This window comes from Homo sapiens, chromosome 11, assembly GCF_000001405.40.
Source record: "Homo sapiens chromosome 11, GRCh38.p14 Primary Assembly".
Lineage (NCBI taxonomy): Eukaryota > Metazoa > Chordata > Mammalia > Primates > Hominidae > Homo > Homo sapiens.
Window position 1 is genome coordinate 69536641 of NC_000011.10, and position 15816 is coordinate 69552456.

At 49.6% G+C, this 15816-nt stretch overlaps 7 annotated features.

The window, feature by feature from the left end:
* Window positions 283–784: an enhancer, noted in NCBI's record as "H3K4me1 hESC enhancer chr11:69351691-69352192 (GRCh37/hg19 assembly coordinates)". NCBI's record gives its function as "activates a minimal SCP1, AML or CMV promoter by ChIP-STARR-seq in naive H9 embryonic stem cells {active_cell/tissue: H9 hESC(naive)}" and the evidence as "EXISTENCE:reporter gene assay evidence [ECO:0000049][PMID:30033119]".
* Window positions 785–1284: an enhancer, noted in NCBI's record as "H3K4me1 hESC enhancer chr11:69352193-69352692 (GRCh37/hg19 assembly coordinates)". NCBI's record gives its function as "activates a minimal SCP1, AML or CMV promoter by ChIP-STARR-seq in naive H9 embryonic stem cells {active_cell/tissue: H9 hESC(naive)}" and the evidence as "EXISTENCE:reporter gene assay evidence [ECO:0000049][PMID:30033119]".
* Window positions 2032–2692: an enhancer, noted in NCBI's record as "H3K4me1 hESC enhancer chr11:69353440-69354100 (GRCh37/hg19 assembly coordinates)". NCBI's record gives its function as "activates a minimal SCP1, AML or CMV promoter by ChIP-STARR-seq in primed H9 embryonic stem cells {active_cell/tissue: H9 hESC(primed)}" and the evidence as "EXISTENCE:reporter gene assay evidence [ECO:0000049][PMID:30033119]".
* Window positions 2711–2855: an enhancer, noted in NCBI's record as "145 bp 11:69354185 sequence used in MPRA reporter constructs". NCBI's record gives its function as "activates a minimal TATA-containing promoter with rs72071802 allelic activity by MPRAs in UACC903 melanoma cells {active_cell/tissue: UACC903}" and the evidence as "EXISTENCE:reporter gene assay evidence [ECO:0000049][PMID:36423637]".
* Window positions 2778–2781: a transcriptional cis regulatory region, noted in NCBI's record as "rs72071802 or 11:69354185 MPRA-significant variant associated with a GWAS melanoma risk locus at 11q13.3". NCBI's record gives its function as "allelic transcriptional activity by MPRAs in UACC903 melanoma cells {active_cell/tissue: UACC903}" and the evidence as "EXISTENCE:reporter gene assay evidence [ECO:0000049][PMID:36423637]".
* Window positions 15638–15782: an enhancer, noted in NCBI's record as "145 bp 11:69367118 sequence used in MPRA reporter constructs". NCBI's record gives its function as "activates a minimal TATA-containing promoter with rs498136 allelic activity by MPRAs in C283T melanocytes {active_cell/tissue: C283T}" and the evidence as "EXISTENCE:reporter gene assay evidence [ECO:0000049][PMID:36423637]".
* Window position 15710: a transcriptional cis regulatory region, noted in NCBI's record as "rs498136 or 11:69367118 MPRA-significant variant associated with a GWAS melanoma risk locus at 11q13.3". NCBI's record gives its function as "allelic transcriptional activity by MPRAs in C283T melanocytes {active_cell/tissue: C283T}" and the evidence as "EXISTENCE:reporter gene assay evidence [ECO:0000049][PMID:36423637]".

A 15816-nucleotide genomic window follows, 5' to 3' on the forward strand; every position in this document is an offset into this window, starting at 1 on the left:
TTCCTGTGCCCATGTCTGCACGTGTCCTCCCTCTGCCCGGGCATCTCCTGGAGCCCGGTATAGGCAGACTCCAGCAGGACCTGTGCTGCACGCCTCAACTCCCCAGGCCCCTCCCTTCACTTGTTTAGAAATGCACTGGAAATACTGTGGGCGCCATTTTCACCAATCGAGTGTGCGGAAGCTTTTAGTAAACACGGGTTACTTTGATGCTAATTATATTTAAATAACATGTGTGTCTACAATTATATAATTATACATATATGTAAATACAGAAAAAAATACCAAAAAATAATGAACTATTCCCAGGCAGGGGTCTTCTGAAGGTTATGGGATCATTTTGACTTGCTCTTCTTTATACCCTTGAGTATTCTCCAACTTGCTTACAATGAGCGCGGATTCTTTTTTTAATAAGCAGAAAAAAATGTTGCTTTTAACATTTAGGAAGCTGTCCTGAGTATCTGGCACATTAAAGGGAGCTTGCTGGGCACTGTGGGATTCATCGATAGGTAAGAAGGAGAGGCAGAGTCCCTGAACTCCATCAGCCTCCAGTCTGGACAAGACCAGACACCCACACGCAAAGTGGAGCCAGGTGGTGCCCTGTGGGAAGCCAGCATGTGCCAGGCACCTGGAGAAGGAGCCAGAACTGGGTCTGGGCTGACGGAGGGGAGACCCACAGGCTACGTGGAGAGAAGAAGCATGTCTGGCAACGGAGGGCACGCGGCTGGAGGGGCTGAGGGGATGCATGAGAAAATGAGTTTGGCTTCAAATATGGATGTCACCAAATGCCAGCACAGGGCCTCAGACTGGACACACGGCCCGTGGGTCACCTGGTGCCTGTAAAGGGGCACCGTGTTTCTTCTGAAATATCTCTGGCCACTGGGGAAACGCCGTGTGTGTGCTGGAGTCACATTGCATCCCTTGCCTGGACACAAGAGCAGGCCCCACCTTGCTCTATCTTCAAAACGCTACAGCACGGAGCCCCCAGAAGCAGGGGTACCCCTTGGGTGGCCGCCTAAGTCAAGAGGCCTTGATAACCGGAAAGTCACACTTTTTTCTTTCTGAATGGTGCAAATCAATAGGAAAAATCGAGATTGTCTGAGGAAGCTTTCTTCAAACATTACAGAACATTGTCCACACTGAATGTTTTGTTCATGTTTGAGGGCTGTGTAGAGGGGATTGATGGAGATGGTGGGGCTGCTAAGGCCCCCATATGTTCCAGAGCTTGAGGCACAGGCCCAGCACCCAGTGGGTGCCCGGTGTGATTGCAGAGCCTTCTGAACGGTGCTGTGTGGGTCATGGGAGCACTTGACCCATCCCAACCAGAGGATGGCCATGTTGGGGGATGTGGCTCCAGAACCCCCAGTGCCCAGCCCCTACCAGTCTTCTTCCCGAGCTGATTTCCGAGGGCATAAATCTGCTTCCCTCCTGCCCCTCACTCCTCTAAAGAAAGGCCTCCTGCATCCCTGGATCCCCGATTTCATCTTTGAGGCCACCAAAAAGTCACTTCCTCCTTCCTTGGTCTAGATGGTCCTGACCCCAGCAGAGCAGGGACTCGGCAGGGCCACTGCTTAGGGAGCATTGAGAGCAAAGGGGCTGCTTTCAGCCGGTGGTTCTCAAAGTCAAGGCTTGATGAAGACACGTGCAGAAAGGAGATGGGCTGGAACTGGGGGGCCTCAACTCTGCAGCTGGGGAACCTGACCCAAGTTGACCAAAGCTGGGGGACGCAGGCAGAGTCTGGCTCTGGCACCTCCAGCTGAGCCACCACAGAGGGTCCTCAGCTGTAAAGCAGGGACCCAGGGACCAGCAGCCACAAGGCAGGGTTGCTGGGAGGGGCCATGAGCTGAGCAGCTCCGAGGCTACACCCCAACTGTGTCTGATTAAGTCCTTTCTGTTACTCTTTAGGACTCGCCCCCAACGCCAACCCTCCTGACCTTGTCCCAAGTCTCCCCTGGCTGGTTTCTCACATTGTCCTGGGTCTTGATCACTGACAGTTGACATAGCTGTCCCCCACCCCCAATCATCCTCCCCCAGGACAAGTGACATGTCATAGTCAATGCTGTCTCTCTCCGGCACCCACTCAGTGGAGCCACTCAGGGCCAGTTAATTCAAGGAAGGAAGGAAGGAAGGAAGGGAGGGAGGGAGGGAGGGACGGAGGGAGGAAGGAAGCAATGCCTCTGTTGGAAAGGTACCCAGGCTGCCTTTTCCTCCTGGAGATCAGGGCCTGCAGCAGGGCTGGAGTGGGCAGGAGGAAGCCCTGGCAGGACATGCCCAGCCCCTCTCATGTGGATGGCAGCCATCCAGCAAGAGAATGTGGGCAGAGGAGGTGGATTGGTCAGGGCTCTGCTTCAAGCCAGACTCCTGCCTGTGGGCCAGGCTAGGGGACTGAGGCCTTGGGTGAGGACCTGAGGCTCTGAGCTATGGTGGACCCAAAACCCAGACCTCTGCTTTCGCCAGTAAGCGGAATAGCATCAGGGATGATGGGCCCTGGCTCACAGGCCACCCGCTGCTGAGAACGTGGCGGGGGACCGAGCCAGGGGCTTCAGGCCAGCTGCAGTGAAAGGACGGGAGGGGCAGCCTCCGACTTGCCTGGTGCCAGCACCTGCAGCCCACAGTGCACCGAGCCTTCCCAACCAGGCCCCACCATCAGATCCAGCAGCAGGCCCCTGGATTCCCTGATTTCATCTTTGAGGCCTCCAAAAAGTCACTTTCTCTTTCCTGTCAGGCACCCACTCAACAAAGCCACTCACAGCCAGTTAGTCAGAAGGAAGGAAGGAAAGAGGGAAGGGAAGGGAAGGGAAGGGAAGGAAGAGGGAAGGGAAGGGAGAGGGAAAGAGATGGGAAGGAAAGGAGACTTCTCAGGCCCCAGAATTCTGGAAGGCTCCAAAAACCTGGTTAGACAGTGGCATGAGGAAGCAGCGTGCCCAAGAGTGAGGCAGCATTTGCCACAGCGGGATATAGAAGGGAGAGGTAAGACGGCGTGTGCCGGTGCCCACAGCCTCTCAGCCGCAGGGGACCGAGGGAGCTGTGGCTTCCCTTCATTGCCTACTTTTAGGTTTTGTAACCACGTGAATGCCTCATCCACTGAAAAAATTAAACTTACAAACTTGCCAGAATTTGCCCCTGAGGGCCCGAAGCCCCCCTGGGCGAGGACGCTGCAGCAGTGCATGTGAGTAAGACCCTGTATCTGCAGGGCCACCCCTCTACCACCCATCTCGGCACCCACACCCCCTCAGCACCCCAGGCTCCTCTGCAGAACTGAGGCCCCTCCCCTCCACGGAGGCACTTCCCTGTCTCAGAAGGGAGGAAGTCTCTGCTTGAGTGCCACCTGACTGGAATCTCACAGGAGGAATTGAAAATCAGCGTCACAGGCCCCACTCCTGGCCTCCACCCCAGCCTGGCTTAAAGCAGAAAATCAACACATAGAAGGAGATGGCTATTTTGAGTGCTGGGAGCCAGTTTCTCTCCCTTTTCTCCCTCGTCTTCCTCCCCCTTTCCAAGGGCCTGGCCCCTCCTGGGAAGGCAGGGAAAGGACAAAGACCCTGGGAGAGGGACGCGCCTGCCACTGCCCAGCCTGGGCGGCAGAATGACACAGGCGCTGGAACTCACCCTGGCATTGGCCTGGCAGGAAGGCCCAGCTGCCCGCTGGCCCGGCTCCTCCTGGGCAGCTCCGTGGGAATTCCCTGGGGGCAGAGCGCATTACAGGAAGCGGCCGCTGGGTGCAGGGCGGGCTTCTCTGGTTCCCATAGACCATCCCCTCCCCATGAACTGGAGCAGGCTTCCCGTGCAAGCCCATTTGGCCTGGAAGTAGGAAAAATACCGCTCCTATGGTTCTGTGTTCTGCTGGAGAAAAGTCTCCGGGGCCGGGCCCCACCCCGATCCCCGCTTCTTACCCACCCCACCTACCCTGGCCGTCCCTCCACTTTCTCCTTACTTCCCCCAACTCAACCACACTCCACAGGGTCATGGCTGCTTTCTCTGAGCTGACAATGCTGGTGCCACTGCACACAGGACCACCTTCTGCACCCCTAAAGGGACAATGGCCGGTTGCTGGGCTTGGTGATGGTTCAGGGTCTTGAAAACCTTTTCTCTGCCCGCCCCTGCCCCCACCAACCCACCACAGACTGAGACAGCAATCCCAGGGCCTCCGTGGGAGAGGAGAAGAGCGTCCCAGGACACCACCCACCAGAGCAGCTCAAGCCCCCAAGCCAATCCCTGCCCTGGTTCCACACCCCAGCCCCCACTGAAACCCCGGAGGCAAAGCGTCGCTCTAGCTCTTATTCTTAGCATCGAACTTGCTCCCACTACGGTGGGAATAAGGTACCTGGCGCCGGTGCATGTAACAATGGGCCGGGGGCTCAGGCGGCAGGTTCATTCTGAGAACCCTCCACCTCCTTAAGACATTTCTTGAGGACTTGGGTTTATGATGAGTGAGTCATGGAGCCACATAATTAGAGATAGGAAAGGCAGCTTTGCCAGGGCCTCGACTTGGACCAGAACGTTCTACTTTTAGATTCATGGAACAATCACATCTCACTGGACCTGAGACAAGTGAGGAAACTGAGCCCCAGAGAGGCAACCGGGACTCTCGGTGGAGTACATGGGGAGCAGGGACAAGATGAATGGGGGTCCCACATCTCCAGAGGTCTGGTGATCTGGCTAATACATGGCATCAGAAGTACCAACAGCTGTAGGAAGGGAGGCTGCATCTCCAGCCCCCCAGGAAGGCATGGGACCAGTCCAGTCTGAAGAAGGAGCTGGGGGCAACCCTGAGGGTCAGCTCAGGCCTCAGAGCAGAGGACAGCTGGGATCATGATTGGTTTTTTTCAATCTCAGCCTCAGAGCAATGCTCCAAGAACAGGAACCTAAAGGAAGCCAGGCTACGAGATCTGGCACTTGCATCTGCTCCTGGAAGCCAGCCTGGCCTCTGGAGGCCTGAGAACCTGGTGCCACTGTGAGGACCTCATGCCACTGTGAGGACCTGGTGCCAGTGTGAGGACCTGGTGCCACTGGGCTCTCGCTCTGGGCTTTTCCTTTCAGTTATCAGTCTGCAGTGGAGACTGGTTTCCACTGCCAGGGTGAGGATGTTTGGACACCATGAGAACCCTCTCGAAATTCCAGGGTTTTGAATTTCAAGCTGAGCTGGGTCCCGGTAGTATTCAGGTTCACAGGAAGTTGGCACAAATCAGCCTCCTGCTTATGATGGGCAGTGGGGAGGGGGTCAAGGAAAGCCTCTTAGGAGGTCACAATGACATCTCAGACACCAGCGAGTGCTTGTGACACATACTGCTGAATGAAGTCTGGGTGAATCAGAAACACGAGGCTGCATTTCCCTTGGAATACACTCGGGGTTAATAATTACATGAGAAATCACTTGGCAAATCCATGTGGGGTGTTGCTGAACCCAAAACATTCAAGAAGATGTTTGACTAATCCCATCCCTGGGCATGGCCCATTCTTTCCAAGAGGGCAGGGGATGGCTTTAAACAACTATGGGCCACATGCTTGCAACCCACAAGGCCTGGCTGCTTTCCAAGAGTGTTTCTCTGCCCTTGAACATCTAGGAATCGAGTTCACCTGGGGAGAGGGGATTTTTTTCCCAAGTGATTCTATGGGAATTGATTACCTGATTCTCTGGTTCTAAAACTTCAACAGCATCTACTGGGAAAATGAGGTGGGGGGAACACGGGGCGGGGGACGGGGGGAGGTGAGGTGGGCGATGGCTCCTGGGGGACTTGTTAAGAAATATTTTGGATGATTCAATGACTCTCCGGACTAGAAGCCTTTTGATTTTGATTAACCACGAAAAAAACTCCACCGGCAACAGTGAGATCATTGCGTGAGTGGGGCTGCTTCGTATTGTCATGAGAGTTCCATGAAGGCCCCGAGGGCACTCCGAAATATCACAGTGGCTTCCAGGAAATTCTCTGCCAGCATCTGCAGGCGGGAGACAAAGTGTTGCCTTGGTCCCATTTCTGGGGCAAAGGCGACGCTCCGCACCCTGCACTTGGCGCTCTGCGCTCCGCACTCCGCAGGCCATAGTCTGCACTCCGCAGTCCCCAGCCCGCACCCCACACTCTGCTCTGCACTCCGCACTCCGCACCCTACTGTCCGCACTCCTCACTCCACAGTCCATACCCCACACTCTGCAGTCCGCACTCCGCAGTCTGCACTCTGCATTCCACACTCCGCAGTCCTCACTGCCGCAGTCCACACTCTGCAGTCTGCACTCCTCGGGCTGCTGGCAGGGCCCTGCGTATCTTTGCTCAGAACTTTCCTTCCCAGAGCCTCAGCTTTTCCGGCTGCCTGGGTGGCCTCAGAGGGTCTAAACAGCTTTCCATGCTCCTTCGCACCATACCTCTGGGCTCGGGGCACAACTTCTGCCACATTCTGTGCCACGTGGTCACTAGCACTGCGCGGCCAGATTTCCACAGGCGTCCATGCCGCAGTTGTGTGCTAAGGGTCTACTGTGTGGCAGAGACGCCCAGACAAAGAAGACACAGCTCACGGGCTTGCGTGACTTACGGGTAGGGGGACCCACCCACCTGGTCATGGCAAACCCCTGAGAGAAGTAGAATGCGCTGCCTTGTCCATCCCCCGCCACCCATCCATCGGTTCATTCATTCCATGAATATGTGTTGGGACATGTAAGACTTGCTTTCATCCCCTGTAGTTGCTATGACAAAGTCCCACAAACTGGGTGTCTTAAAACAATAGACATTTACTCCCTCAGAGTTTCAGAGGCCAGCCATCCAGAATCAAAATGTCAGCAGGGACAATGCAGTATGGCTTAACTGTGTCCCCCAAAAGTTCATGTGTTGGAAACATGGTTCCCAGTGCAGCCGTCTTGAGAGGTGGGACCTTCAGGAAGTTGCTGGGCCATGAGGATCCTGCCCTCGTGAGTGGATTAATCCATTCAGGGGATAATGGATTCATGGCTTATGGAGGGAATGGGGTAGTTATCACGAGAGTGGGTCTATGATGAAACTCACTTCAGCCATATCTCATGAGCCCCCGGGCATCTGAGGCCCTGTGCCCCTCGGGACTCTGCAGAGAGTCCCTGCCAGCAAGAAGCCCCACATCAGAGGCACCCCTCAACCTGGGACCTCCCAGCCTCCAGAACTATGAGAAATAAATATCTTTTCTTCATAAATCACGCAGGTAATTACTTATAACAACAGAAAATGGACTAACACAGCCACACTGTCTCTGAAGGCTCCAGGGAGGATCCTACCTTGCCTTGTCTGGCTTCTGGTGGTTGGTGGCACCCTTGGCATTGCTTGGCTCATGGCCCAATAGTCTCACCTTCAATAGTCACGTGGCCTCCTCCTGTCTGCGTCCCTGTAATCAAATGTCCTTCTTCTTCAAAGGACCCATTGGATTTAGGGCCCACCCCACTCCATTCTGACCTCGTGCTAGCTTATTACATCTTCTTCTGTCTGCACCCACCCTATTTCCATGGGAGAACCCTGAGGTCCTAAAAGGCCATGGACTCTGTGGGGTCACCTTCCAGCCCAGCACAAGCATGTTGCAGGAGCAGGCACTGTTCTAGTCTCTGCCATCACGTACCTTGCATTTCCGGTAAGGGAGATGGATTTGAAAGCCATAGTCCGCAGGTAACAGAACGCCCGGTGGAGCACAGCTCTATGGAGAGAATGAAGCAGGGGCAAAGGCTCCAGGGTGATGGGGACACCGTTGTCTGCAGGGCAGCCCAGGAAGGCCGCTGTGAGGAGCTTACAACTGCAGGGAGGTAGTGGGACTCCCCAGGGGAGGACTGCTCCGGGTACAGAAAGCAGTCAGTGCCATGGGCTTGAATGAGAAGTGTGCCCGATTTCCCAAGGCCTAGCAAGGAGGCAGAGTGGTGGCTGGGCAGGGACTGAAGGAGGAGGAGAAGCAGGCAGGGCGGCCACTGCCAAGTCCCAGAGCAGGGCATCTTTCCCGAGCATGCTAAGGACGTGGGAGTTGAACTGTGGGCTTGGGGGAGCCTTAAAAGAGAAGTGGCCTGGACAGAGTCTGTGCCAGGCCTGCCCTGGCCAAGATGGGGAGAGCCAGGTGAGGGGCAAGCGGGGAGGAGGAAGAGCAGCCACGGAGAGGCCAGCAGCACCACAGAGCGAGGCTGAAGCGGGGGCGATGCGGGGTTCTGGACGTAGGTCTCAGTCATGCTGACGGACATCGCTGAGCTGCAGGATGGGACCAAAAGAGCAACACCATGGACAACTACGAGGTTTGGGGTCTGAGCACCTGCCAGGTGGCCGTGCTGTTGCTGTTGGCTGATGGGAGAGTAATCAAGCGGAAGATAAAATGCTCTGTGGTCGGCTGGGCACAGTGGCTCACGCCTGTAATCCCAGCACTTTGGGAGGCGGAGGCAGGCGGATCATGAGGTCAGGAGATTGAGACCATCCTGGCTAACACGGTGAAACCCCGTCTGTACTAAAAATACAAAAACAAAACTAGCCGGGCATGGTGGTGGGCGCCTGTATTCCCAGCTACTTGGGAGGCTGAGGCGGGAGAATGGCATGAACCTGGGAGGTGGAGCTTGCAGTGAGCCAAGATCGTGCCATTGCACTCCAGCCTGGGCGACAGAGCAAGACTCCGTCTCAAAAAAAAAAAAAAAATGCTCTGTGGTCACAGCAGAAACTGAGAGGAAACCTGCCTAGATTCAACATTCAGGGAAGGGGACTTCTGAGCTGGGTTTTGAAGGATGACTAGGAGTACCCCACTGTGCCCAAAGTGAGCAGGTCCTTCAGGGGAGGGGTCAGTATGCCCTTGTGTCAAAGCCTCTGATGAAGGCAGTTTCTGTCTCCTCTCCTAAGCCTCCAGCCCCTCCTCTCCTGAGCCTCCAGCCCTCGAGGCAGGTCCTGCGTCACCGTCACCGGGAGCAGCAGTGGGCAGGAAGAAAGGGGCAACTGTGATGTTTGCAGCCCGGCACCCACTCTTAGCTGGCAGCATTCCCTTGGGCCTTGTATGAGGTTGGATTGTGTCCCCATAAAAAGTTACGTCCACATCCTAACCCCCGAGCCTGTGAATGCACCCTTCTTTGGACATAAGGTCTTGACAGATGTAATCAAGTGAAGATGAGGTCGTTCTGGGTTCGGGTGGGCCCCAGGTAAAAGGCCTAGCATTGTTCCAAGGAGAGGGAGATTCGGGGGCACATGGACACACCGAGGGAAGAAGGCCAGTGAAGACAGAGGAGGAGATTGGGGGGATGAACACTGAAGACTGCCCACAGCCTCCCGTAGCCCCTCAGAGAGCCTCCAGGAGGAACCAACCTGGCCGACACCTTGATTTTGGACTTCTGGCTTCCACAACTGTGAGAGAAGGAAACTCTGTTGCTTTCAGCCCTGCTGTGTGTGGAACCTTGTTTCAGCAGCCCAGGACACTCACACAAGCCCCAATGCCATCCTCTGGAAGACAGGCACAGTGCCCGCCACTCAGCCTCGGGCACTGTTCCACGGGGCAGTGTCCTGTGCTCCACCAGCACAGCTGACACTTGTCTTAGTCAGGGGCCTCTGGAGCTGGGCCACTCAAAACGTGGTCAAGCGACCAGCCACATTGACGTCACGTGGAAGCTTGTTAGACTGGCCCACTTGGACCCAGTAAGCCAGAATGTGCATTGTGATAAGATCCCCTGATCTCCCCTGCACCGCATGCTTTGAGAAGCTCTGCTCTAGGACGCGGAGCCTGAGGCCAGGACGTTGGTGCCGACCCTGGCTGAGGGAGGGGTCAGCCAAGGCGGGGGAGTGAGGAAGAGGGCCATGAAGAAGGCACAGGCACGACGACACGAGGGAACCAGAGGGGTCCTGGGCAGAAGCACCCCAGCTGTCCCAGCAGGAGCCGCACCTCCAAGTGGCCCACAGAGAGTAAGGAGGAGGGGGTTTGTCAGCCTGGCTGCCTGTCACTCCTCTCCCACTGTTAAAAGTTTACCCCATGGTAGAGGGTGGCAGAGGATGAGGAGCAACTCCTCAATGGCTCCAGGGCGTTTGGGGTGAGGACAATGTTTTAGATCTTGAGGGAGGTGGTGGTTGCACAACTCATTAATGTACTAAATACCACCGAGTTGTTCACTTGAAAATGATTAATCGATGTTAAACGAATCTCACCGACGTTTTTTAAAAGTGTATCTGTGAGATGCTAACCTCTCCTGCACTCCCGGGTGCTTCTCAGAACACCAGGTCTTGCACGCTGAGTCATGGCATCTGGGTACCATCGAGGAGGGAGAGGTGGAGTGCAAGAAGACGATGGCAGAGTCGTGTGTGGTGACTACTTTCTCATTATTGTCACCATCCTCTCCAAAAGTTGACTCAGTTTCATAGCGCATCTGGCAAGGCTCAGGCGCACCCGGGAGCATCCTCACCAGCCTACAACCAAGAATGGAGCCACCCTGAGAAAGAAGCATGGAAGAAAAGACTGTGCAACTGAGAGAACGGTGCTGCACACAGTGGGGCTTCCAGGAGCACCAGGGTGTGATTTATTGCATTTATCATTCAACTCCAGGTGATCTGTGTGCCACAGGATTGCAGCTCAGGCGTGCGCCACGCCACCCTGAGTCAAAGTGAAGCTTGGGCAAGTCACTCAGCCTTTCTGAGTTTCAGTTTTCTTATCTGTAAAATGGAAGTGATATCCACCTACTCAGAGCTGTTGGGAGCAACGAAAGTAGATGCCACTTCAAACCTAGCCCCGAAAACTTCCTATAGATAGAGCTTTATGGAAAATTAGTAGCTCACAGACAAAAATTGCAACACATTAGAATAAATCTAGCAGAAGTAAGAGACAGCAAAATCAAACCCACAAAGAGTTCAAAATTGAAATTATCAAACATAAAAAATAATATAAATATGTTTAATATGTTTAAAGAAATAAAAGTGAAACTTAAAACATGATCGAGGGATCCATAAAAAATGACCAACAAGTTTTGAAAAAAGGCAGAATTTCTAGAAATGAAAAATGTAATTACTAAAATTAAAAACTCGCTGTGTGTTGAGTAGCTACATTAATTTCAGACAAAGTCAACTTTGGAGCAAAGAAAAGCTCCAGCATAAAAAGGGGCATTACATTCTGCTAAAAAGGATCAGGCCAGGCGTGGTGGTTCATGCCTATAATCCCAGCACTTTGGGAGGCCGAGGCAGGTGGATCATGAGGTCAAGAGATTGAGACCAGCCTGACCAACATGGTAAAACCCCGTCTCTAGTAAAAATACAAAAATTAGCCAGGCATGGTCATGCCCACCTGTAATCCCAGCTACTCAGGAGGCTGAGGAGGAGAATCGCTTGAACCCGGAAGGCAGAGGTTGCAGTGAGCCGAGATGGCGCCACTGCACTCCAGCCTGGGCGACAGAGCGAGACTCCATCTCAAAAAAAAAAAAAAAGAAAAAAAGAATCAATTCACTACGGACACTACAAAAACCCCAAATGTGTATCACCTAAGAGCAGAGCTTCCAAAGACATAAAGCTTACAGACTGACAGAACTGAAAAAAGAAATAGATAAATCCATAGTTAATAGTTGGAAACTTCAACACTCCTCCCTCAATAACAGAACTAATAGAAAATCATCAAGGATAGAGAAGAACCTAACAATACTATTATCATCTGGATCTATGAGACATTTAGAACATTCTGCCAACCAGGGGTGGTGGCTCTTGCCTGCAATCCCAGCACTTTGGGGGGCTGAGGAGGGTGGATCTCTTGAGCCCAAGAGTTTGAGGCTGCAGTGAGCTATGATCACATAACTTCAACAGAGTGAGACCCTGCCTCAAAAAAAAAAAAAAAGAGCATTCTACCCAAAAAAGCATAAAACATATTTTTCAAGTGCACATGGAGTATTCAGCAAGACAGACTATATTATGTCATAAAACAAACATTAACAAAGTTAAGGGAATTTAAATTATACAAAATATGTCCTATAATGCAATTAAACTACAAATTAATAACAGAAAAATCAGAGAAAAATATTCAAGCGCTTGGAAGTTAAACACCACACTTTGAAATAATGTATGACTCAAAGTCTCAAGAGAAACTTCAAAACATTTTGAACTAAACATAAATGAAAATACAACATGTCAAAATGTATGAAAAGCAGCTACAGCAGGGCTTAGAGGGAAATTTATAGTATTAAATGCTATTATAAAGAAGAAACGTCTCAAATCAATAAGCTAAGCTTTTATTCTTAAGAAACTAGAAAAGGAAGAGCAAAATAAATCCAAAGTAAACAGAAGGAAGGAAATAATAAAGACAAGAACAGAAATCAATGACATTGAAATCAGAAAAACCAAAGAGAAAAATCAATAAAACCAAAATATGGCTCTTTAAAAAGATCGATAAAATTGATGAAGCTTTAGCAAACTAACAAAGAGAAAAGAATACCTCACAGGTGTCAATAATGATTGAAAGGAATACTATGAACAATTCTGTGCACCTAAATTCTACATCTTAGACAAAATGAATGAATTTCTTGGACACAAACTACCAAAATTCATCCAAGATTAAATAAATAACTTGAATACTCCTATAACTATTAAACACGTTTAATGCATAGTTTTCTATTTGTTTTCAAAAAATAAATATCCAGTCCCACATGGTTTCACTGGCTAATTCTACCAAACATTGAAAGAAGAAATAACATTGATTGTTACCCAGAAAATAAAAGATTAAAGACTACTTCATGACACATTATATGAGCATTGCCTCAAAACTAGAAAAAGACTGTACCAAAAAGGAAAACTACAGACCAGATTCCTACATAAACACAAACACAGAAGTCCTCAGCAAAATATCCGTAAATAAAGTCCAGCATTATATGAAATACACCACCACCCAGTGGGGTTTATTCTCAGAAGGCAAGGATGGTTCAGTACTCAAATATCCATCAGTGGAATCCACCTTATCAATAACCTAAAGAAAAAACATATGATCATTTCAACAGACACAGAAAAAGCATTTAACAAAATGAAGCATCCATTCATGATAAAGTTCTCAGCAAAATACCGATAGAAGGGAACTTCTTCCATCTGATAAAGGACATCAACAAAAATCCTATATCTAGCATCATGCTTAATAAGTAAAGACTTTCCCCCAAAGATTGGGAACAAGGCAAGCATAGACACTCTCACCATTCTATTCAATATCATAGTAGAAATCTTAGCCAATAAAATAAGACAAGAAAAAAGAAATGAAAGCCTTGCAGATTGGAAAGAAATAAAACTGTCCCTGTCCTCAGGCAACATAACCACACTGAAAATCCCAAGAAGCCTATATTTTTTTAAAAAAAGACTCCTGGAACTAACAAGCAGGTTTTCAAGGTCCTAAGATAGAAGATCACCACACAAAAATTAATCTTATTTCTATACACTAACAATGCACAACTGGAGTGATTTTTTTTTTTTTAATTTCGAGATGGAGTCTCGCTCTATTGACCAGGCTGGAGTGCAATGGCACAATCTCAGCTCACTGCAACCTCCACTTTCTGGGTTCAAGCAATTCTCTTGCCTCAGTCTCCTGAGTAGCTGGAATTACAGGCACCTGCCACCATACCCAGCTAATTTTTGTATTTTTAGTAGAGATGGGGTTTCACCATGTTGGTCAGGCTGGTCTCGAACTCCTGACCTCATTATCCACCTCGGCCTCCCAGAGTGCTGGGATTACAGGTATGAGCCACTGCACCTGGCCTCTTTTTGTTTGTTTGTTTGTTTGTTTTTAGAGACAGAATCTCACTCTGTCACCCAGGCTGGAGTTCAGTGACATGATCTTAGCTCGCTGCAACCTTTGCCTCCTAGGTTTAAGCGATTCTCCTACCTCAGCCTCCTGAGTAGCTGGGATTACAGGCGAGTGCCACCACGCCTGGCTAATTTTTGTATTTTTAGTAGAGACGGGGTTTCATCATGTTGGCCAGGCTGGTCTTGAACTCCTGGCCTCAGGCAACCCACCCACCTCAGCCTCCCAAAGTGCTGGGGTTACAGGCATAATCCAGCCAAATGGAGTGATTTTTTAAAAAGATTCCATATCACAAATTATCAGATGCAACACACACAATACTTATAAGGAAATGTAGAGTTCTAAATGATGAGTAATAAATCACATACAAGTCAGGTTTATCCCAGGAATACAAGCCTGATTTATACAAATATGTTAATTAGATTTAAATCTATTAATTAGATATAAAAATCTAATTAATGTAATTTACCACAATAACAGATTAAAAAAGCAAATTATATCTTAGTAAATGAAAAAGAAAGCATTCAATAAATGTCCATATCCAATCATGGTTTGAAAATTTTAGCAAAATAGGAATAGAAGGGAATTTCCTTCATCTGATAAAGAGTCTCTCCCAAAAATACCTACAATAACCATCATGCTTGGAGAAAAGCTAAAAGCATTCCTGTTAAGACCACAAAAGAGCCTCTCCCAAAAATACCTGCAATAACCATCATGCTTGGAGAAAAATTAAAAGCATTCCTGCTAAGACCACGTCCCAGACTCTTCTGTATAACACCAAACTGGAGTTGCTAACCTGTGCAGTAAGACATGAAAAGAAAATATAAAGGAAGAAAGACACAGAAAACTCTTCTTAGTTACAAATGAAAATACTGTCTACATAGAAACCTGAAAAGAACCTATGGAAAATTATCAATAAGACATTTAAATAAAGTGGGTGGGTACAAAACCAGCATATAAACCTCAATTGCATTTCTATAAAGCAGCAACAACTAGCAAACACAAGTCTTAAAAAGATGCCACTTACAACAGCAACATCAACAAACACAGGTATATGATGCATACATATATGTAAATAAACTGGGAATAAATCTAACAAAGATGTATCCAAATGGCGCTTTTTTTTTTTTTGACGGAGTCTCACTTTGTTGCCAAGCTGGAGTGCAGAGGCACAATCTTGGCTCACTGCAACCTCCGCCTCCTGGGTTCAAGTGATTCTCCTGGCTCAGCCTCCTGAGTAATTGGGATTACAGGAGTGCACCACCACGCCTGGCTAATTTTTGTGTTTTTAGTAGAGATGGGATTTCACCATGTTGGCCAGGATGATCTCAATCTCTTGACCTCATGATCCCCCCGTCTCAGCTTCCCAAAGTGCTGGGATTATAGGCATGAGCCACCACGCCCGGATGAGCATTTTTTTGATAAAAGACTCAGTATCTTAGAGGTATGGTTCTCCCCCAAATTGTATACAGATTCAGCACAGTTCCAGTACAAAAAGAAATCCTTCCACTCTTTGATGTATTTCAGTGCAGTTCCATCATTTTCACCATAGAGGGATTATCACTCACTTGCCCTGTGATCTTGGACAAGGTCTTGAGTTTTCTCAGCTGAGAAAATAAAAGGATGGGAACAGAAGATCCCTAACCCCCCTCCTGTGCTGAAAGCCTAAGATCCTTCAGGAGGAAGAGGCAGGTGAGGTACATCTGACACTTCGGCGTGGCTCCTGCTGAGGGCAATGAAATGATAAACCAGGCTGGGGTGGGTCTGAGACTCCACCCTATGACCTTGGCATCTAACAGGAGGTAAAATGGAAAGCAAATCATGACACGTCCCAAACATTATGTAATCATTGTAAATAGCTTTTAAAGGATTACATAGACATGGAAAATATTCACGACATGTTAAGTGGGAAAAAAATCACACACATCCTATAATTACAATTCTAAAGGCAAAGACAAGATCCAGGAGGCAAGGCCGCTCAAACTCTTAAGTTTCACTGTTTGATACTGTTGAGAAGCACAATAATGACCAATGAGCAGAAAGAGCATCAGTAAACGCTCCCACTTTCTAAGTCCTCTGGCAGGAAGTCTTTATTTGCTTCCCGGAGTTAGG